General features: G+C 50.4%; 1 protein-coding gene across 56 annotated transcripts in view, besides 1 other annotated feature; it reads left to right on the plus strand.

Moving 5' to 3' along the window:
- NFASC (neurofascin) overlaps positions 1-23,207 on the plus strand; it is a 194,171-nt gene that overhangs the window by 131,216 nt on the left and 39,748 nt on the right. For 20 of the 56 annotated variants that reach the window (NM_001378329.1, NM_001005388.3, XM_047449964.1 and 17 more), the window contains 13 exons: positions 8,382-8,493; positions 8,931-9,115; positions 10,749-10,880; positions 13,409-13,552; positions 14,312-14,423; positions 14,790-14,956; positions 15,404-15,551; positions 16,804-16,928; positions 17,814-17,858; positions 19,101-19,202; positions 19,495-19,692; positions 20,503-20,573; positions 21,931-22,153. In NM_001378329.1, the coding sequence (NP_001365258.1) occupies positions 8,382-8,493; positions 8,931-9,115; positions 10,749-10,880; positions 13,409-13,552; positions 14,312-14,423; positions 14,790-14,956; positions 15,404-15,551; positions 16,804-16,928; positions 17,814-17,858; positions 19,101-19,202; positions 19,495-19,692; positions 20,503-20,573; positions 21,931-22,153 (1,764 nt within the window). Of the gene's footprint in view, positions 1-2,240; positions 2,292-8,381; positions 8,494-8,930; positions 9,116-10,748; positions 10,881-13,408; positions 13,553-14,311; positions 14,424-14,789; positions 14,957-15,403; positions 15,552-16,803; positions 17,280-17,813; positions 17,859-19,100; positions 19,203-19,494; positions 19,693-20,502; positions 20,574-21,930; positions 22,154-23,207 lie in introns of those variants that run through there. The other 36 variants (XM_011509316.2, XM_011509318.2, XM_047449996.1 and 33 more) reach the window with 6 other exon arrangements.
- Positions 15,862-15,981: a silencer, noted in NCBI's record as "silent region_1732". NCBI's record gives its function as "represses an Ori minimal core promoter by ATAC-STARR-seq in GM12878 lymphoblastoid cells {active_cell/tissue: GM12878}" and the evidence as "EXISTENCE:reporter gene assay evidence [ECO:0000049][PMID:35858748]".

Raw genomic sequence — 23,207 nt, forward strand, 5'->3', positions numbered from 1 at the left:
GATGTTTGTTAATTCTTCATTTCTAGGTCCTCTATTCCACTGAAAACTCTTTCCTCCGAATGGCGAGAGACCCCCTAGGTGATTGGAACAGAGCCCCATCAGCTTCCTGGAGTTCTCCCAGGGGCAGCTCTGGCTGGGAGCAAGTTCTGGGCATCTGAGCCAGCCCAGAATTGGGCACACTTGCTTAAAATAGCACAGTGGTGCTCTCTCTACTTTCCTGTCTGGAGAGGACACAGGCTTTCTCTTGTACCTTCAGAACCAGGTCTGGGGTGGGAGGCAAAGCAGTCAGGCAGGGGCAGCTTCAAAGGCCCTATTCTCACCAGGCACTCCTGTCACAGTTTGCCCATTTGGGAAGAAATAAATCTCATCATGTCCCATTTTTATTACCTGCATTGAAGGAAGTTGACAATGGTATGTAATGCAAAATACTGGGTAATCTGAAATCATTTTTAAAACCTGGGATGCAGTCAAAGATAAGCAGTGGAGTTGGGCTACAGAGCTGGGCCCGTCCCACTCTGCCTATGCTGTAACAGGTGCTGGGTGCCTCCTGATGCAATAAGAGGCAACTGTGGTAAGCGAGGAGGGTCCTCCCTAAGGCAGACACCAGGGCACACCCCTTCTTCCTCCAGTGTCTAAGTGACATTCTTGGAGCAGTCAAAGAAGTTTCCGTGAATTTCTCACATGTGCTCCAGAATTCACAAACCACGAGGTCAGTTCTGGGCGTGGGCTACTTCTCTGGAGAGAGATAGGTTACATTTCACCTGGTGATATGGGAGCATGAAGGAAGGGCCCTGTCATCTGTATGTGCCACCATCCACCCCCAGGAGAGGAACAGAGTTGCCTCCCAAGCCCAGCTGCAGCCCCCACCTGCCCTTGGGCCACCCCATCTCTTCGTTACATTGTGGATTTATTCCTGCCTTTAGCTCCAGATGGACCCAAGCAGACTTCCCAAACAGGCTGGGTCTTTACAACAAACCCCATCTTAAGAGAGAGTTCTGAATAATGAAAATCTTCCTACCAGGTGGCAAGCAGATTTGGGATGCAATGCAATGCCAGTCCCAGAAAAGGACTCTCATACTTCTTGCAACTAGTTGTAATGGGATTGGATCTGTCGACAAATATGCAAATGTTTTGGCAGAGCCCCTGTTGTCCCTCGAGCAGTTGGACCATGTTCTTGCCTCCTCAGGGCCATCTGCTTGGCTTCCAGTCAGCTGTATACCCCACCCCCTTTTAGTACTGTCACAATTTGAACCCAGTTGCTGGAAGGGACCAGAGGTAGAGAGGGAAAAGCTCCTTCAGGACGCTGGCGTGATGATGTGTCCTCTTCTGAAATGTCTTTCTCATTAAGGAGTAAATGCCCACGAGTTTGAATTACCTAACATTGGAACTGAAGCCACTGATCTTGCTCCATAAGGAATGTCTTCAATCCTGCATAGTCTAGAGAGCTTCGAACCTCCAGAACGTTCAGGAGGACTTTCCTAGTCTGAAATGTAGAACTCACAGCTTGCACTTTCTCCTGTCCCAAGCTCCAATTCTAAATTCTAAAGCCTGAACCTCAGGGATGTTCTCCCCACCTCACTGAACCTCTCCCGGCATCCTCACAAGGAGGGCTTTCTGCCAACAGAGACATCTCCAAGATCATAGTGGTGCCCACCTGGGCAGACTCCAGTGACACATGTTGCTGGGTGTGGCCAGGGCCCCTTGGCCCAACTCTTTTGGTCAATGACCTCCTCCCATTTACCACCAACCTCCTGCAGCTTAGCTTCTGCCCAGGCAGCACTTTGCTCTTCCCCGGAGCTCACTAACACTCCTTTCTCTTTAGCTGCTCCAAGAGCTAGCCTGACCCAGAGTCCTGGGAACTGAGGATTTTGATAAGAAGGAGTTGTTCAAAAGATGGCTACAGGACACCACTAATCCTTCTCTCATTTGTTTGAAAATATAGCAGGACCAATTAATTAAAGTTCAAACCTAATTTCTTTAATTTTAAAAAAACCATTACTGTATTATTGCCTTCTTTTGCAGGATTTAACCTTTTTTTCTCCTTTTGTGGGCTGTTTTGTGTTGCTTGTTCTTCACTGAGCGTATTGCCTTTCCAAATATGCCGTGTCTTTCCTTTGCAAAAGACCACTGCTGCCCTCCTCAGTTGTTTTTCTGGCTTTGCATTTGTTTTCTCTCCCCGTTTATGCCTCTGTGACTTCTCCGTGGCCTCCTGTTTGCTCACCCTCTTTTGTTTGTTACAGACCACCCTTATAATGACTCGTCCTTAAGAAACCACCCTGACATGTACAGTGGTGAGTCGCAGCGGTAACCTTGGGAGTAACCTTGCCTGTGCTAACCCCAGTTTGCCTAACTTGACTGATACCACGTCATTAACTCCTGCTGGGTGGCAGCTGGCCCAGCCAGGGTGCCAAGGTGACACCTCCAGAAGGCTGCCTGCCAGGAGGCAGTGTGGGGGTTTGAGGTGGCTCACCTGGTGGTGTGGTCTCCTCTAACAGGCATGCCTCAAGTTGCTGAATTCTCAACAAGTTGTTCAAACCAGGGTAGGACTTCAAAAGAACTTCTTGAAAAGCAGGAACTTTTACTGAAAAAGTAGAAGCTTAGGAATCAAGAATGGATGAAGGGAGACTATCTTAAAATAGGTGAGTTCCATAGTGAAGAGAAAACAGGAAGTCTGGTTCCTATTGGTAGTTGAAAGAACACAGAAAGCTTGTTAGTATGTTCAGTTAACTCTAGATAGGAATTGCCTGCTTTGTAATCTCACCTTAGTTACCGGGAGTACCATTTCACAGTGAGGTCCCGTGTCTCTTTAAAATCCATCTGGGCAATAGGAGTAAGAGTCCAGCTCTGAGTTCTCTTTCAAGATGAGTATAAATGAGGTGAAACCATCCACCGTACCCTCTCACCTAGGCCTCTCTCCTCCTTTGGTAGTATATGCAAATCAAATGCCCACCAGTCCACACTTGCGAGACATGGAACAATTACAATGAGGCATGGTTTTAACTCATGACACAGCTGGTTGCTCAGTCTGATTAATAGGGTAATTGGCTATTTCCACACCTGAGTTACCCCTCACCATGGCTCAAGAATGTCTTATTTTCCCTGAGCAGCCAGAGGCACCATCATTTGCTGGCTCTGGTGAGGCAGCTGGCCCCCATCATTAGTTATGCCTCAGAAGCTGAGGCTGCAGGTCCTCAAGGGACCTCACTGTGGGCTGAAACAGATAGGAAGTGTCTGCACTGTGATGTGCTAATACAAAGGATGATGAGTGACTGGAGAAGGGGATGGGATGAGGGAGCGCGAGCCAGGGAGAGAGGCAAAGGCTCTAACTTGGCACCAAGCAGCTAGAACCACACTGAGATCCTGCCAAAGAGATTCACTACCCAAGGAATCAGGGGACCTTTGTTGGATTCTAAGCATTGTTTGTTTTCAAGATAATGGGGCCAACTACTATTGTGTTAAGAGCCCCAGAGCCCTGGTATGGAATGGGCCTTGTTCTAAATCGGATTCCAGGTAATCTGTTATAGGAAGTATTCTGTAAGCCTGAGTGCATCAGAGCCAGAAGTTCCCTTAGAGACCATCTGGTCTAAGTTCCTCACTTTATGTAAGATAAGCCATACAGGGGAACGTACACATAGAGTTGTTTTATCAATGGAATAAGTTTGAGTGATTCCAGTCACTTAAACCAGTTTGTGACCATTGATCAAACTATTATTGCAAGAGAATGAGTGGGACTTATGAGATCCATCCAGGACTATGAAACAAGCAAAGCTTACAAGAGTTTACCTGGAGATTGACCCCTTGTCCTCAATCCAGGGTAGGACGGAGCTGACCCAAGTATGAAGCTGCTGGAAAGGATATAAAGTCAAAGGGAGACACATTTTGAACAAAAGACAACTAGGCTGATGCTTCTAGCAAGAAATCAAAGGGAAATGGAAGGAAGGAGGATGACTTCTTTCTGGAGTGCAGGCATCTGGACAGAGAGACTTGATGAAAAGTGCCCAGGGCATCTGTCTGTTTGGCTCTGAAATATGGCACGTCTCTTTTGTAGCAGGAGGGCCACCCCATACTTCTATTTTGTTTTAGTGATTTCTAGAGTGGATTGGTATCCTCTGAACACTGCTAGGTGCCCCCTGACCTGCTGAGTGGCAGGAGAATCTGGTCTGAGATTGTAACTTGCCGCTTAGGATTCAGCCAGGTGAGGAGACCAAGTGGTTAAGAGTGTGTGCTCTGAGGTAGACTGCCTTGAATTAAATCCAGGGTCCGGGACATACCATTGAGTGATGCTGAGTAAGTCATTTAGTGTCTCAGAACTTTAATGTTCTCATTTGCCAAATGGATGTATTACCTGTCTCATAGGATTGTTGTGAAGATTAAACAGGAGAATGTGCTTATGGTTCCTAGTATGTGTTGGGCACATTCTCGATACTTAACAAGTGTTACCCATTACTGGTTTTAAAGGGAATGGTTTAGTGTTGACTGTATCCTGGATAGTTCTTCTATGCTTCTGAAATTAAGAAGGACAGACAGAACTTAAAGAGAAGCCAAGGGGCAAAAAGCAGGTGCAATTATAGGAAGAAAGTACCATAGAGGGAGAAATTGTAGGGCAGACCAGAGAAACAAAAGCTGTTCAAATCCTCAGCTGTGCTGAGAACTGCATAAGAAGAAAAGCTCCAACTACTGCATATGAGGTTTGGGTTAAACTTACAGGAGAAATTTCCTGGTACTGAAAGGTATCAAATATTACTAGACAAAGAGTTTTTCCTATCTTCTGGGGTTGTTTGGTCAGCCATTCCTAGAGCAAGAGAGGTGAATGAGATGCCAAGAATCTGGCCCCATGAGTCTCTGGTTCTCAGTTCTGAGAATCGAAAGCAGCAAAGTGGTCTGGATGAGGGATACAGATGCCCCTAAAAGCTGTTTTTGGTAGAGGTCCTCAGATACGTCTGATTCATTGAACTTTCTTGTCCTGCTAACACATAGCACTTGACAGAGGGGGGCAACTAAGGTTGTCAGGAGTCTTGATGTTTCCTCAAAAGAGATGATCAAGAGGCATTTATCGTTGGACCTTTAAGGCCAACATGGTTGAGGCATTGTCATCTCCTGTTGTCTGCTAGCTGACCATATTTCCCCAGAAACCCATGGACCCACTCTGAGCCACAGCTTACGAGAGCAGGAGAGGACTGACTGTCCCTGGGCAAGAAGTCAAATGAGCTGGCGAGGGAAGCTCTTCCTGAATCCACACAGATATGAGCTTTAGCGTATGGACTCTGAGTTTGATCAGGCATTAGGTCAGACCCCACTCTGAAGATCAGGGCGAATAACCAATACTCTCCAGGGATCCCTGCCTCCATGATGAAAGAGGGTGTCCCATGATAAGATGAGACAGTCATCTGCCACCATTTAGAGTTTCATCTAGTAATCACTGTTGTCTTAGAGTCTTCCTGTCTCTACTTCTCCAGGGAAGGAAATTAGGCACCCTCTTTGAGAACAGTGGCTCTCAAAGCCACCAGCTCTAGTATCCTTCCTAGATTTTCATATGAGTTCCTCCTGCTGCAATTGACTGCATTTCTTCATAACCTTTCCTTTAGGGCCAGCCATCTCATTCCTTAATGATATTATGTCCCCCAAATCTTCTTCAAGTTTTCCATGCCTTTAAGAATCCAACTGAGGTGCCTTTAGAGCTGCTGAATTCCCTCCTCAGCTTCTTTTTCTCCACCTTGGGCCCGAGTTTTTTTTAATAGCCACTGAGGAGAGGTGGGATCTTAGCTGAGACAGTGAGAATAGTAAAACATAGTGGAAGAGTTTCACCAGAGCAGCTCACTAAGACAGAAATATCTTTCTCCTTTACCTCTTTTGCCCTTGCATTTTCTTTGGTTTGAATAAGAAAGATATTCCTGAAGCTGACTGTCAGAAGTAGGAACAAGTGGGATGCCCATCTTTAGACAGAGAGGCAATGTAGAGTGGGTGGAAAGCACACGTTTTTGGTGCTAAATGGCACAGAATCCAAAACATAACTAGCTTGGAACCTTGGGCAAGTCTGTTGACTTCACTGAGCCTCAGTTGCCTCTGCTGAAAATGGGGATACAACCCTCCAGGTTTGCTGTGAGGATTAAGCATAAATGGTGGTGTGGATGGAGCTGTCAGCACAGTGCATGGTCCCTAGCAAACGTTCACTGAATGGTGGCCCTGATTATGACCTCCAACTTTTAGGATGCTCTTCTCTTTTTTTGAACTTTGGCTTGTTTCCAGTAGCTTCTCCTTCTTTAGGATAATTCTATTGTTGCTAGCCCACATCCTACAAATGCAATATTGCTGTAACCTCTTTATAGTCACAGCTACAGTGTGTCAAGGCACCCACAGCAGAACTCTGTGCTAAATTTTCCTCCTTCCCATCATTATTGCTTTGCTGGGTTGTGCGTGCTGGTGGTGTCGCGCGTTATGGTGTAAATTAAACGTCCATAGGGTCACAGATTGGTTTCTGCAGATTTCCTCCCAGTGTGGAAGGAGTATGACGACTTAGCTGGGACCTACCTCTTCCACAGAATCCCAGGGTTCCCAGCTCTTGACGGATTCACCAACCTGACAACAGAGCCTTCTGCCCTAGAATCTCCTTTCCTCATAGTGCCCATGTGTCTTGGTTGTTTTGGTGATTCCGTGATGGTGGGTGGGAGGAAGCTGTTGGTGTCAGGCTTCCTTGGTGCTGAGAATTGGATGCTACAAGAGTTATAGACATAGATGATAACCAATTAACCACATAATGGATTAACCCCTTCAGTAGTCACTGTTGTAATGTGTGTGCTGGTGGGACAGATGAGGCATCTACAGAAAGAGAAATAATATGGGTTAAACTGCTGCCTTATTTTTTGTTCTCTTCTTCCCCTCCAATCCATTCACCTTATAAACCTTCATTGAGCATTTGCTGTATGCCGTGTATTGTATCATCAGCCTCGTTACCCTCTGCATATGTTTCATCCTTTCTTCTTTTGACAAAAAGATAAAATAGAAGCAAACTCTATGAATTGCACTCCACCAGTGCCGAGGGAGAGAGTTGAGTGCCCCAGAACAGGAGCCCCGCCGGTGCAGCCAGGCCCCAGCAAACCCAGCAAGCTCCTTTAGGAAGCACCAGTTACATCTGGATAAAGTTCCCCCGCACTCTCTCCTCACGCTACCAGCACCGATTAAACCCTGGATAAGTGTCTTCATCCTCACCCCAGGTGTCTCTGAGGCCTCCCAGCTCCTGGCAGCTCTGCCTCCCCTCCACCTTTCCCTTGTCCTGCTGAGTCTAAGACCCCATTAAACCCATGGGTGGGCTCAGCTTCTATTTTTGTTTTTAGCCATTCCTATGTACGATCGTACACCTTGGCCAGGGGGTACTTCCTCCAGTTTCCCTTTTGCCTTGGGGTTTCTGGATGGAAAATTCTCGTTCTTTTCCCTTCCATCTTACCCATTCCCCTAGAGCTATACAAAGAGCTCTGGGGGAAGAGGTGAGGCTCGGGGAAGGTGGAATTCACTCTGTCATGGGTGGGCCCATGCTGGCACAACCCTTCTACAGGGAAACAGCCATCCTGAAAATGCCAATCTCTGTGAGCCACCTGGCCTTCAAGACCTGCATGAATCTCATTGATTTCAGACCCATGACTGTTCCGGCCTAGTTGCATTATAGATCATCACCTCCTCCAACTTGGCGGCCACTTTTCTCCCACCCCCTCCCCGAGCAGCTCACATGTAATTACTACTCTCCTCCCCAGCTGTCTTCCCGAGTCATTAGTGAGGAGGCAGAATGGTCTTGGCCCCGGAGTGATTTCCTGTCATCTCTGTTCATTAACTCTCTCCATGTCTTTGCTAAGCCATTAATAACTCTCCCTGCATTTCTGATTGATTGTGCGGGCTTTGTGACTCCATCCCAGCACCTTGTTTTCAGGGTCCTAAAGAGCAGGTTGTCTGTCCTGTGGACCCAGTACATGCCTTCTCTGCTTCCAGATCCCTGCCTGGGGAGAAGGACCGCTGCTGAGATGGCCTGCCCTGGGGGCCACACAGTGGCCTCTGGGATCCCAACACAAGCTGCTCTGGAGTAGATCTCGCACTGCTCAGACAGCCCCTCCCCGTTCCAGGGAAGGGGAGATTCCCTGAACCTGAGGGAAGCTGGGCTCCTCCAGGCAGATCCTTTCAGAACCTAGAGCTCCTCTCTCTCATGTAGGTGGGGCTGAGGAGCCCTGGGCTTCCTAACACACCTCACTTAATGATGCCCAAGTCCTTGGGATGGTTTCAGCTGGGAGGATCCGGCAGGGGCGGTGATGCCACTTCTCTCTAGCCTGACAGCGTTGGCCTAGTGGGGTCTGCCTTCTGGAAGGAGGCTCATGGGAGTTTGTTCTCTCCTGTTTCAGCCCGAGGAGTTGCAGAAAGAACACCAAGCTTCATGTATCCCCAGGGCACCGCGAGCAGCCAGATGGTGCTTCGTGGCATGGACCTCCTGCTGGAATGCATCGCCTCCGGGGTGTATGTGCGGTTTGCAGCCCCTCTTCTAGCCACCCTCCAGGAGGATGGGGATGGGAGCTTGTTCATGCTCTTGTTAATGCCACATTTAGTGCATACCAGTAGCACAGCAAAAAGAGAAGCAAACAGCCTCTAGTGAGCAGGGTGTTGCAAACCATAGTCATCTCCATCCTATCCTGGCCATCTCTGTTTTGGATAATGAGGAAAGAAGGTGATTAGGCATCCCGTAGATGCGTTAGAATCTCGTGGGACCTTAGCTAAGCCTTCAGGCTCTCTGTGGCTGAGCATCCTCCTCTGCACAGGAAAGATCAGCTTTTAGAGGACATGCATCCTCCTGGGCCCAAGTATACTTTTAGGCCACCTGGGTGTCCCCAGCTGTATAGAAGAGGAGAAAGGCCACGTTTAGTGATAACTTGTTTCCTGCTTGGCGCCTCTCCTAGCCCAACACCAGACATCGCATGGTACAAGAAAGGTGGGGACCTCCCATCTGATAAGGCCAAGTTTGAGAACTTTAATAAGGCCCTGCGTATCACAAATGTCTCTGAGGAAGACTCCGGGGAGTATTTCTGCCTGGCCTCCAACAAGATGGGCAGCATCCGGCACACGATCTCGGTGAGAGTAAAGGGTACGTTGTGTGTATTTATCATTATGATTATGTTGCCAACCCTGAACACCATGCCCACCCTTCCCTCTGAGGGTGGTTGGGGGCAGAGTGAGTCGGAGAGACTTCCAGCCCACTGCTCAGTGGCAATGGCGATCTGCCATGGATGGTGTCACTCGCTGGACGTGAGAGGGTGTGTGCATGCCCGTGCATGGGGCAGGGGGTGTTAAGGAGATCCACCCTGGCCATCATCCAACTCTCCTTGGTGCCAGCGCTCCCTCAGCGGGTGAATTTCCTCCCACGGCCCATTTGGATCATTCCCAGAGCCTTTTTTTCCTTTCGTTTTGCATTCCCGTTTGTGATGTGTCACGTGAGCCCGTGCTGTCTGTGTACCTATGCATGATGCTGTGCTGCTTTTTAAAACTGGGGAGTGGTCATGGCCAAAATTATTTTCTAAAATCACTTCCTTCCCCCCAAAGCAAAGAGGGCCCACCCGAGTGATTGCAGGCACCAGAGCACGTGTCGTCATGGGTCCCCACCGTGTGTGGCAGGCTGCACTGGTCACTGTTTGGCCTGGGGCTGTATGGATGGTTGAGATAATGATGTTCGAGACCAGAGTATAGAAACTTTCTTAGCAGGCAGTCAGTTGATCTTGTGACCTTGGCTTCAGCACCATACACAAACTAAGGAGTTCTTAGACTTTGAGGGGTAGGGGGTGAGTATCAAGATTGTTGATAATCTGATCTGAAAGGCTCACTTCTCAGAAAAATCCACATTTCCACATATTCACAAAATTGTCTAAACAACTGAACAAGGTGGCCAGCTGAGAACTGCTCTAGCTGGGCGTGGTGGCTCATGCCTGTAATCCTAGCACTTTGGGAGGCCAAGGTGGAAAGATCATGAGGTCAGAAGATCGAGACCATCCTGGCCAAAATGATGAAACCCCATCTCTACTAAAAATACAAAAATTAGCTGGGCGTGGTGGGACATGCCTGTAATCTCAGCTACTCAAGAAGCTGAGGCAGGAGAATTGCTTGAACCTGGGAGGCGGAAGTTGCAGTGAGCCAAGATTGCGCCACTGCGCCCCAGCCTGGCGACAGAGCAAGACTCCATCTCAAAAAAAAAAAAAAAAAAAAAAAAAGAACTACTCTAACCAAAATTCAGTGCCTAAAGAAATGTTCATTAGGCTTTTCCTAAATGGTCTGATCTTGCAAAACAGAGATCCAGAGGGACCAACTCAGTGCCCACTTTACCACCTTCCCTAGCAGTGGAGCCATTGGATGCACACCTCAAACACTGGTGACCTCTAAAAGCATCTGCCACCCAGGCCTCCTGTGAGGATTCTGATTTAGTAGGTCTGAGATAGGCCCTAACATCCCTTTTTTTAAAAAAAGCTCTTCAGGGGATTCTAGTGAGCAGCCCCAGTTTAGAACTATTGTTCTGTGAACTCAAAATAGACAGATCAGCATCTGTGCAGCCAAGCCAGCCAGAAACAGGCTGGACCAAGTTATCCCTGTGAGGATGAGCCCTGGGGCAGGTGGTGAGCACGTGGTGCTGGGACTCAGGGGCTCCTGCCATACTAGAGGGAGACTGCTTGGTTTCTTCTGCCTGTCCCATGCCATCTAACTCCCCTGCCTGTGTCTGTCTTGTCTTCCAGCTGCTCCCTACTGGCTGGACGAACCCAAGAACCTTATTCTGGCTCCTGGCGAGGATGGGAGACTGGTGTGTCGAGCCAATGGAAACCCCAAACCCACTGTCCAGTGGATGGTGAATGGGGAACCTTTGCAATGTAAGTAGCGAGCTGTTGTCCCATCTGACTCTCATCTCTCTGCTGTCAAAGGCTTCAGATCCCCATCACTGTAGCCAGTGCTGGTCACACTAGAAGTTCAGGAAGAGAGAAGCCCACTGGTGGCTGTTTCTCAGCTGCCCATCTCTTCAGACATCTCAAGAGGCAGGAAACCTACCCTCTCTTTGTGTGAGAGAACAGGAGGCCTGGAACTCTGTGGTCATATTCCCATGCTTAAGGGATTTCTGCTCCCTTGGGGTTTTTTAAATCTCTGCTTTCTCCCTCTGAACAACTTCAGAGCCCAGTTGATGGCCTGGGGACTGTGGCTGCATCTCTGGGTGGTTGGGCTTTGAGTGATGGCTGGGGCTGGGAAGGTAGAGGAGAATTCAGTAACCCATTGTTGGTTACTCAAGTTCCGCTCTCTGCTAAGGGCAAAAGAAGAAGCAGGGTTGTACAATAATGTGAAATATTATGGTTAGATATGAGGAAGAACTGCCCCCAGAAGAGCAGATGTACAAGTGCACTTTATCGAGTATGCTTAGACTTTGGGGACATTTAGTCCTGCCCAGGTGGATGGAGTAGATGACTCCAAGACCCCTTATAATCAGTGGCCTTGGTCAAGTTTTCACATCATAGACTCTCTGGTTGCATTACTTTTCAAAATGTCCTGTCCTTACTTTCTCTAAGAGGTCAGAGGAAATGTAAACAATGGTATCAACCAAATGGGGAAAAAGTAGATGGCGAGAACTCAGTCTAACTCAAGAGCAGCAGCTGGTAGAAGCAGGTGGAGAGGGGGGGACACAGGTAGAGGAGAGGGTAAGAATTTACCTATTTAGACATATATTGTATGCCACATTCTGTGCTAGATGCTGCACTCCATTGTTGCTTTACTTTCAAACATTTAAGGTAAGGAAATAAGGTTCTCCTCAGTGCAATGAGTTGCCCAAAATCGCATGGCTAGGAAGTGGTGAAGTTGTGGGTTGCTGTGAGTCTGCAATACAACTGCACCAGCTAGTACTGAACCTAGTTATCCCCAGTAAATGTTACTCCCCAGCTACAAGCAGAGATATGGACACTGCCTGCCCTCTACAGTTCTCTCCGTCTTAATAGGACTTTGGGGGTAAGCTAGGCAATTGCGCTAAACTTTACAGCACCATTCAATAAAGCAGCTCAGGACTTGCAGCTGAGCCTCAGCCCTGGAAAGGTCACCTGTCACTCTCCCCAGGGAACGTGTAAGGAGAGTGACTGGGGGGATTATTGGTTGCACGAGAATTTGCCAGGCAAGGAGGTGTACAAGTTTCTGGCATTGCCTTCCTTGGTCCCTTTTCACTGAGTGGGGACCCGGGCGTGGATGATAAGGGTGCTAACTTTGTCTTCCTTTCCCATCTGCTGATTCCCCGGTTCTGGGCTCAGGCTGGCTATCTGTGGAGTGGCGCCTGCAGGGCGACTCCTGCATCCTCCGCTGACTTCCCCTGTAGGTCTGAGTCATCTTGAATGCGTTCATGTACTCTGTAAGCTAAGTCATCAGCTTCCTAGTCCAGAAATCTTAGGAAGGAAAGTCACTTTCTAGTGGTTAAAGATGAGAAAAGTGGCAATTCTTTACATTTCTAGAAAATTTTTGTTTTTACAGCTCATTATTGTTCTCTTATCTTAGCCTTTCTTAGAGTAGGGGAAAGGTGGAAGTGATTCTTCCCCATCTTACAGAAGAAGGAAATGAGGCCCAGAAAGGTTTGTTGATTTACCCCAGATCCCAGAGTGAAGTGTGGACCCCCAGCCCTCTCCAGCCTCTGCTCTCTGCATCCCAAGCCAGCAGTACTAGAACTGTGGGCAAGAATATCCTCTCTCAGTTTAGGACACATTTTTGGGGAAGAGCTGTGAGCTTTGTCAAATAAAATGACTCATTCCATTTTCAAGAGGCATTGGCTTATGGGTTTAACTTTATGAATGTTTGGAGCATGCTCTCTTTGGAGGATGGGAAGGTGGTAGGTTCTGTCTATTGTATACTGTTTTGTCCTTTTCAAAACACACTTAAATATATGCACATTCGATTAAAATGATAATAACAGTATGTGTTAGACCTTCTGTTCATCATTTTGTACATGCATAAAATCTCAGGTTATCTTCACAAAAACCCCATGAGGTGATCTGTTATTCCCATTCTGCAGACAAGGAAACTGAAGCTCACAGAGATTGAATGATGCTGGTAGGAAGTGATGTGGTTAGAACCAAAACTCCTTTCTGTTTCCAAAGCTAATGCTCTCAACCACAACTGCCCAATGGGTAGGTAGGTCGAACAGGAATTCATATTCCATACTCTAGGCTAGATTAGAAATAAACCCCAAAGGTTCAGAGAAGGGCTCAAGGTCACACACAGCCCAGCAGTGGCAAGGCCAGAAGCCCTGTCATCTGGCCCCCCATCTGGTGCTCCCCACAGCACCCCGCTTGTTCCTGGGAGCCCTGGCCAGAGCCCCAAGTGCCCTTCACCCTGCCCTCCCCATCTCTCATGAGGAGCGTCTCTTTCTTGTCTGTAGCGGCACCACCTAACCCAAACCGTGAGGTGGCCGGAGACACCATCATCTTCCGGGACACCCAGATCAGCAGCAGGGCTGTGTACCAGTGCAACACCTCCAACGAGCATGGCTACCTGCTGGCCAACGCCTTTGTCAGTGTGCTGGGTGAGTGTGCCCTTCGCAGCCTGTTTCCCCCTCCTCTCCACTACTGCACAGTCGCCCTGGGGCTTGGTTATGTCGTGGGGCACACTTTCTTCTCCGGGGATTGGCCAAGCTGGGTGAGGTAAGAGGATGTTGGATAGGGGAAACATGGAGATGGGAAAAAATTTGTGAGAGGGATGGAAGGGTCAAAGCTGGGAGGAAGTTAGCAGATCATCTGGATCAACCTCCTCATTGTACAGATGGAAGACTTAAAATTCACAAAGCTGGATGAGCAGACAGTTAATTCCATCAGAGCAGTCAATCTTAGTCTTCTCCCTCCCCTGATGAGATAGAGTGGGACTGTCCCATCGCCTTGGTGTATCCATGTTGACTTCCCCTGGGTTCGCAGCTGGATCTCACGGTGGGAAATGGTTCTGAGTATATTTGCTGTACCCGCTGGGCAGGGAGATGGTGGTGGAGGGGTAGCTAGGAAATGCCTTAGGGCTGTGATGGGGCAGCTATGGAACCTGCTGGATAATTTGGGGAGACCCTTTGCAAAAGCTGGATTTGGATGTAGGGTAGGTTGAGGGCAGAGGACGTAGTAAGCTTCTCCTTCCCCACCTAATCCTTAGGGGCTTCCTGAAGGAGGGAAGGTTGATAGGGGAAGGTGTCTCAGTGCCTGGGAAGCTGCTGTAAGCAGAAGGCATGCAGAGGTGAGACCGAGGGGGAAGAGATGGAAGAGTTTAGACTTGGCACTCGAGATTGCTTCTCTGGGAATTTCAGATGTGCCGCCTCGGATGCTGTCGCCCCGGAACCAGCTCATTCGAGTGATTCTTTACAACCGGACGCGGCTGGACTGCCCTTTCTTTGGGTCTCCCATCCCCACACTGCGATGGTAAGTTCCAGGAGATCAGGCCTTCCACAGCAGGGGTCACCTGTCTCATCTTCTCCTTCCCATCTGGCCCATAGTAGGTGTTCAGCAAGACCTGGGAATCTTAAAGGGTCAAAGCTGGGAGGAAGTTAGCAGATCATCTGGATCAACCTCCTCATTGTACAGAATGGGAAACCAAGACCTTGAGAGGGATGGAGGCTTGCCAGGGCCACCTGGTGGCTAGAGGCAGACCCTCCGAGGCTCAGGGCTCCAGTCTCCTAGCATGGGGCTCCTTCCACAGCCCCCATGGTCTCTCTTGATTGGCTGCTGCCCCTGCCCTTGGGCTGGTCCTGTCTCAGGATGCTGTGTGTTCTGCTGCTCTGTTGTGAGGTTTAAGAATGGGCAAGGAAGCAACCTGGATGGTGGCAACTACCATGTTTATGAGAACGGCAGTCTGGAAATTAAGATGATCCGCAAAGAGGACCAGGGCATCTACACCTGTGTCGCCACCAACATCCTGGGCAAAGCTGAAAACCAAGTCCGCCTGGAGGTCAAAGGTAAAGGAGAGGGTTCGCCAGTGGGAGTTTGGAGAGGGACAAGGAGGCCATGCTGGCAGTTATCCACATACAATATTCACATTGAAAATGCACCACACCTGTCTTTAACCTGGAGTGGGCTGCCCAGTTTGCACCTGTGGAGTCCTTTTAGGATCAGTGTGGTCCAAAGAGAATTAGGAAGGGAAACCTTCTGCTCACACCAACTCCCCACTACCAGCCCAGAAATTACATCATATATTCCTGAGCCAGATGGAGTGGATTTGGGGCATTATCTGCTTTGGGGATTACCCACCCAGAACTCTGCTCCGTTCATACCATAGCATACTGTTTGTGCCCCACTCCATAGTTGGCCCAAGGCCTCGAGGGCAGACATATGCCACTTTGTGGCCGCATGGGGATGCTGGGCAGAGAACAGGCCAGTGGCGAGTGCTCTGGGCTTCTCCACAGACCCCACCAGGATCTACCGGATGCCCGAGGACCAGGTGGCCAGAAGGGGCACCACGGTGCAGCTGGAGTGTCGGGTGAAGCACGACCCCTCCCTGAAACTCACCGTCTCCTGGCTGAAGGATGACGAGCCGCTCTATATTGGAAACAGGTTTCTCTTCCCCCTTCCCCCTTCCTAGTGCTAGTTTGAGGCGCATTTTCTTTTCCCTTGCTGTTGGTGACACATGGAAGAACACAGGGACAGGGAACCCGTGTCATGCATGTCACCAAGGAGCTTCTGCAGAGGGGGTGATGGCCTGGGCAACTCCCCTGCTTCAGGGGAGACCCCCCCACCGACCCTGTACAACCTCCCTCTCTCCCACCAGCTCCCTGCTTCTCTCTCCTACACCTCCTCTCTCTCCCTCTTCTCAATCTCTTCACTTCTCCTCTCCCTGTCTCCCCTCACTTCGCCTCTTTTCCCTTTCATTTTTGCCCCTGTCTTCTCTTTTCCTCCTTTGCTGCATCCCAGGCTCCAGCCTTTCAGCCCTATTTGCAGTACCCCTAATCTTCAGCAGAGGGCAGGGTTGATCTGAGCCAGCTCTCAGCCCTGACTGAACCTGGCATGCTTTTACCACACCCACGCCTGCCCCGCTCCTCAGACCCTGATTTCATTGGTGTAGGGTAGGACTTAGGACACTGGCAGGGTTTAAAAGTCCCCCTGGGGGTTCCAGTGTGCATCAGGGTTGAGAACCACTGTTCCGAGCCTCCCTCCCCAGGGCTTACTTTGCTTTACCTTCTTCCACCCCGAGGGAGCAAAGTTGTGCAGGGCCCTGCAGTTGGACACGGTACCAGCGGTTTCTAGCCATCATTTGACTTTTTGCAGAGGGTGTTCCCCTCTGTAAACCTTCTGGCACTCAGTGCTGACAGCTCTACAGCCCCATTCTGCTCTGTGGCCTCCCCTCTCTATAGGAGACAGTTCCCAGGAGCCTGGGGTCAGGCTGGCCTGAGCATGGGTGCAGAGGAGACAAGTCTGGGCTGAAGACAGACAAAGCTACAAGTATGAGAGGAGAAGGAATACCAACCTACCTTGGGGTCATGGGCCTCATGGTGCCCTCATCTGGGAGGGGTGCACAGCACAGTAAAGGCACAGAGGCAGGCACACGTACAGAATTTGAAGGTGGCAAACGTGCTTCACAGCCACTTGAGCTCCGCCCACTCTCTGTTCCCCTCCATCAAGTATGATGAGTGCTCCAGGTGACTGTGAAGACCTCACCTCTGTCAAAGCATTGAGAGGGAGCCTCATACCCCCAGAAGGAGCTTCCCTTGCCCTCCTGACTCGAGAACCCCCTCTAGGGAGAAAGCAATGGGCAGGACTCAGCACTCCCCTACCCCCTCCTCCCAACCCTTCCTCGGTACCTTTGCAGGATGAAGAAGGAAGACGACTCCCTGACCATCTTTGGGGTGGCAGAGCGGGACCAGGGCAGTTACACGTGTGTCGCCAGCACCGAGCTAGACCAAGACCTGGCCAAGGCCTACCTCACCGTGCTAGGTAACTGCCCATGCTCACCCTGGCACTGACCAGCCCCACCCCCTCCCCAGCAGCCAGAGAAGCAGTGGCCCGGGGCAGTTCCGAGGGCAGTGCCTGCAGTCAAGTGGCCGGGTCAGGCGTGGTGATCTCTTCTTGCCTCGTGATGTCAGGGTTAGGGAGCTGCCAGTTTCAGAACAAGCTGTGCTGGACAGGTTACCTCCTGAGTGGAGTCATTAACTTCCCCACGTCTCAACTGAAAGGGGCCTGAGTGATATAGAGAAAGTGGAGAGGGGTTTCTCGTTGTGATCATTTTACCTTTCTTACAGCTAACTCCACCACTAAGTCAATTAAAACAATCCATCCTTAAAGCAAGACTGAGTTTGTGTTTGTGCTTCCAATGACCTCTGCCAGCCTTCCTTTCCCTCCCGCTCCATCCCTGGGTTTTGGTAGCGTTTCATCACATGCTATGCACTAAGCAAGATGACGTTGTGTCTTCCTGTCCTGCACCCAGGCTGGACTGTAAATACTAAGCTAACCCAAACCAAGAGGAAGGAGGCCTCTCCCTTCCAGGCAAGCAGGTCCTCTGTCACCTCTGCCTCCCCGTGGGTGCCCTACTGCCACTAGCATTGGCGCAGTGGAGAGGCACAGTTGCAGAGAGGGTGGGCCCAGACACGATAGTCACATTGGGATGGTAAGGAAACAGAGGTGCCGCCCCCAGCTGTGGAGGAAACACAGATGGCCTCTATAAGGGTAGGGGATTCCCCATGGAAGGACGGGGACAGCCCTGCCTAGAACACCTCAGCCCAGAGGCAGCTGTTTAAGCCTCGGCTGCCTACCCCCATCCTTCTAGAACACCTTTAATGCTGGATAACCTGCTAACCTGGATAACCCGTCTTACCTTTGCAGCTGATCAGGCCACTCCAACTAACCGTTTGGCTGCCCTGCCCAAAGGTAATTCCCACTAATCACAGTCCCCTGCCAGTGCCCTCTCTTGGCACCCAGGGTGTGGAGTCTGGGAGAAGGAAGCCACTTTGGGAAAGGGCGACAGTGTGTAGGTTTGTGGGCAGCACTCCTGGCTACATGGGACCTCCTTTGAGTTGCCCACGTCCACCTCCCCACGGCCCTTTGCTGGGCTTCCTGCTCCTTACAGGGTGAGCTCGGAAGTTCTCGGCTGCTGTTTTACCCCATCCCTTGCCTCCATCCACACTCACCGCTCCCTCAGGGTGGCCTGTCCTCCCAGCAGTCTTTCAGGTCCTGTTTGCAGGGAATGCGAAAGCCTGCTCCCTTCACATCACCTGGAAACTCATTGTTCAGCCTCCCTGCATCTATTGCTTTCTATCCATTTACAATCTACACACACATGCCACACATACGTGAACGTGGGCCTGTAGGACTCACCTTCCAAGTCCTTCTAGTGACCATCTGAAAGATGGAAATACCTGGTTCAGGGAGTCAAGATGGAGAGAAAATCTTGCCTACCCGTACCACTCAGTAGCCGATGTCTTTATCCCAGGCCAGGATGGCACTTAGACCCACTAAAGCAGTCCCAGTGAGATTCATGCCCTAAAAAAGGTGCTGCCCTCACCCCTGTTTGCAAGCCTGCTAGGCTTCTGTCCTGCTGTCCATCAATGAAATGCCTAAGCCAAGTCTCCATCTCCTCCCTGGTCTGATCCCCTCTCTTTGTTGCCCCCACTCCCCTAACCCATCTGCCATGTTCAGCAGGCCAAGCCCTCTCCTGGGTTCCCATCTCCTCAGAGCCTTGGCACACAAAGTAGAGGACAATTAATGTGAGAAAATGGGACAGAATCCCACACTCCCTCATCAGCCTTCCTAAGTGTCGTGAGCATGGGTCTGATGACGGGTGGCATTCCTGAATGCTTGCACTCTCAGAAGATCCACCAAGACGGAATGGCGTTGGTCCCAGTTCTGTCTGCATAAGCCCCTTTATTTCCTTGTTCCACACCCATTGATATTCTTTGTGGGGGGGGGCTGGGATTTCAGGAGTCTCCTCTTTGTTTTCCCTTGGGCCCCTGTGGGAAGGGAGTGGTCCCTGTGCTCACCCCTCAGGGCAGGCTGGGGTTGGATCCAGCTGGTAGCGAAGACAGCCCGTCAGGGAGCTGTCCAGGGCTAGGGCCATCACAAGGGTGGACCTGCTCTAACTCAGGAGGCCTGCGTGGTGTCTTCTGCCACCAGGACGGCCAGACCGGCCCCGGGACCTGGAGCTGACCGACCTGGCCGAGAGGAGCGTGCGGCTGACCTGGATCCCCGGGGATGCTAACAACAGCCCCATCACAGGTAGCTCAGGGCCTTGCACCCCAAAGCTGGAAAAGAGGGACGGCAACACCCTTAAACCGAAGGCCTTTCCTGGTTTCCAGCCCCACTTCTGCCTCGCTTGATGTGTGTCCTGGGCTAACCTCAGAATGTACAGAGGCCTTGGTGTCTCTTCCTGTGCCTTGGGAAGAATTCTCCTTGTGCCTTTGTGTGAGAGAGATTATAAAGATCAATGGAAGCCAAGAAGGAAGTGCTTTTAAAGAAGACCACTGCTAACTGAGCTCCCGAAACAGCTCTGTTTTCCTTGCCCACTCAGACTACGTCGTCCAGTTTGAAGAAGACCAGTTCCAACCTGGGGTCTGGCATGACCATTCCAAGTACCCCGGCAGCGTTAACTCAGCCGTCCTCCGGCTGTCCCCGTATGTCAACTACCAGTTCCGTGTCATTGCCATCAACGAGGTTGGGAGCAGCCACCCCAGCCTCCCATCCGAGCGCTACCGAACCAGTGGAGCACGTGAGTACCCGAGGGCTGCCAGAGAAGGCTCCGGAACCCCGCACCCCAAACTCACACTGAGATCCCCCCATTCCCAGCCATGTGAACTTAGGTTACTTAACTTCTCCAAGGCCCGGCCTCATCTGTGAGGCAGAGAGTAATAATAACACCTACATCACAGAGCTGTTGTGAACATTTGAGAATGTGTGCCAGGTACTTACTATGATGCCTGGCATGTAGTGAGCACATGATAAATGCTAACTTCCATTTTTATTATTAGTAATTCTTGATTATCTGCTTTAAAGGGGAGAGCTGTGGCAAAGAGGTACAGCAGAAATACATAATTCAGTGTGAGAAATATATAAATTGGTATTACATCAGATTTCTTTTCCTAACACTCTTGGGTAATATTTGGATTTCTGAAATCACACCAGCTCATAGAGGGTAGAGATGCTGCCCAAAAAAAATGTTAAATGCCAGGGATAAGCCAGTCTGGTATGAAACACATTTAGTGGATAATCCACAAAGGAGCTAATCCACATTGAGTTGGCTTACTGACCACCCACAGTGTGGAAAGCCTTATGATAAATGCTGTCTGGTAAAGGATTAAAATTCAGAAGAAATTAGCCCTGCTCTGGGAGTTTAAATCTCAGCTCAAAAGGCACATCATGCACAGAGTAAGCTCATTTACATACCAGACCAAGCGTATACATAGATGCCGAGGAAAGACAGAGCATAGAACAGACCCATCAGGTAGGACAGAGGAAGGTTCCTTACCTTGCCCTGGAAAGGCACAAATTGGACTTGAGCCTGTGTCTGTTTGGGTTCCAGCCCCCGAGTCCAATCCTGGTGACGTGAAGGGAGAGGGGACCAGAAAGAACAACATGGAGATCACGTGGACGGTAAGAGGCCCTCCCAGCCCCAGTGGAGCAGCTCACCTTGCCGCATGCACCGGGAGCCCCTCTCCCTTGATGCCCCGACACTACGAGGCCATGATGTGGTTCAGACTCTCTGGCTGGTCTTGGTGGCCATTCTTCTTTGAGAAACCAAGCTCCTCTCTGAGTTGGGCATCCAGAAACCAAACAGGACAAATGTCTAAGTGTAAGATTTCAGAGAGGAGACAGGAGCAGAGGGGACCAGGGTCCACCGACTGCCAGTCTAGCAAAACGCATAGAGGATGCAGCAAAATCAAGCAGACTTCTCTTGAAGGAGGAGGGACTGGGGTTAGACTTTAGAAAAGATCTAAGCACAACACCAAACCAAGTTCTGGTGTGTCCTAGGGCCCTTTCACTGGAGATTTGTGGGAGCTGGGGAGAGACCAACATCTGAGATGTGTCCAGTACAGGCTTTCTTTTGGTCCAAGAATGGACTAGGTCATTCCAAAGACTCCCTCTGGTCTTAGAAAATCCCATCTTCATGCTGGCTCACTGACTACATTTTCCAAACCAAAACTGGAGTATGTGGTCTCAAAATGACTTTTTTCCCAAACCACTTCCCAGTCTGAGAATGCAAACGCAGCCACTGAAATATTAACATTTCTGAGCTTCTGCCATGAGTAATGGAAACTGGGAGATGCAGTGTTTGGGATCATGACCTTCCCTGTCTTTCTGAAGGCTGCTCCCACAGCAGCCTTGGCCAAACAGGGCAACGGCAGCTGGGCTGAGCCCAGATTCAGGACCCTGGTCTGTGGCTCTGTATAGCAGGCTCCAAGAGGACTGATTCCTGGGCCAGGCCCTTAGAAAATAAAGAGCAGAATCACACCCATGTTTAAAGAACTCTGACCTCTTGGGAAGGACAGGACAGACACACACAAATTCGGTAGAACTAAAGTCCATTCTGGAATTTTGAGTTCATTAGCAGGAGCCATGCTGTGGTTAACCACAACTCATTTCTTCTGACTTTGGAGAAGTTTACCTTTTGTCTATATTTTGCTTTATTGGTTGCTCCTGTCACAGGAAGGAGTTTTGTTGAAAATAAAACCTTTGCACCTACAAATGCGGGTGGCTCTCAGAGTCAGAGTAACTGGGTCTCAGGCGAAGCCTGTGTCACAGAAAATCTGCATGCTGCTGGGTTCACAGGACCTTGGGCTTTTGGGGGACTCACTGGGGTGGGGGATATGGTCTTCCCTACCCTGCAAGGGGGCAGGCCAGTGTTGGGCACATCTGGAAGGGATGCCTGGCACAGCAAGAGAGGGCAAGCTGTGGGTGGATCTGGGCCCCTCTCTGGCAGCCTCTCCAGCCTGTCTGTCCCTCTGCCCAGCCCATGAATGCCACCTCGGCCTTTGGCCCCAACCTGCGCTACATTGTCAAGTGGAGGCGGAGAGAGACTCGAGAGGCCTGGAACAACGTCACAGTGTGGGGCTCTCGCTACGTGGTGGGGCAGACCCCAGTCTACGTGCCCTATGAGATCCGAGTCCAGGCTGAAAATGACTTCGGGAAGGGCCCTGAGCCAGAGTCCGTCATCGGTTACTCCGGAGAAGATTGTGAGTAGTCTCCTCCCCGTCCCCCCATCAGGACCCTTGTGGCTAGGTCGCACGAGGCCACGCTCACAGGCCAGGAACCTTGGGGTGGGTATGGGAGGACAGCCAGTTCCCAGGAAGGAAAAATGTTCTGTAGTGACCTAGAGCAGACAGGCACCCAGTAATGTCAGGAGTGGAAATATCATCCGAACGTAGTTGGAATTACTGAATGTCATCACCCAGTCCAGAATTCTCATTTCACAGATGTGAAAACTGAGGCCCAAAAAGGGAAAACCCTCGGCAGTGTTCCATAGTCATCAATGTCAGTCTTGAGAACAGAGCCCAGGTCTTCCGATCCCCTGGCAGTCTGCCTTACTGCTAAGCCATACTAGTACCAAGAAAAAACATCAGGACTACCCATCCTAAAGAGCTATAATTAGACACTTCTGTAGGAAGCAGGGCAGCTGGCCAGAGGTTCCCCCGGGGAAGCCTTGAGGGATCAGGAGGCCTCCTCAGCAACCAGACAGGAGCACCCCAGACCAGCCCCTCCTGGTGCTCCCGCTGCGGCTCCCAGCCCTGGGAACTGAGCACAGAAAGAGAAGGTCTTTGGGGGCTGGCCCCTGGTAAAACAACAAGATTCTGGTCATATACATGGACATATATGCCTGGCTTCCCAGACGGTGGTGGCCTCTCTGTCCCCAGCACATCAATCCTGTAGGCTGCTAAACAAAGCAGGGGTGTCGGGGAGTCCCCTCCTGGTTGAGGGCCTTTGCGCCCTGTTGAGTCTGGGTCTGATCGGAGAAGTGATCATGTAGGTGGATGGAGTGGGCAGAAGGAAGGGAGGAGGGACAGTCTTGAGTGGGGGAACTTAGAAGGAGCAGTCAAGAGTACGGCCAGTGGCATTCCTAACAGTGAGATGGAGGAAGGGAGGGCTGGGCCCTGGGCCCCACTTTCCCAGAGGTGATTATGGATTGGACTCACAAGGGAGATGAGCAGAGAGGGTCAGCAGGTCCTCTGTCCATCCCACTCCTCACCTCCATGGTGGTGGGCACTTCAGACAGGAGCCCGATGGGACCAC

This window comes from Homo sapiens, chromosome 1, assembly GCF_000001405.40.
Source record: "Homo sapiens chromosome 1, GRCh38.p14 Primary Assembly".
NCBI classification, from domain to species: domain Eukaryota; kingdom Metazoa; phylum Chordata; class Mammalia; order Primates; family Hominidae; genus Homo; species Homo sapiens.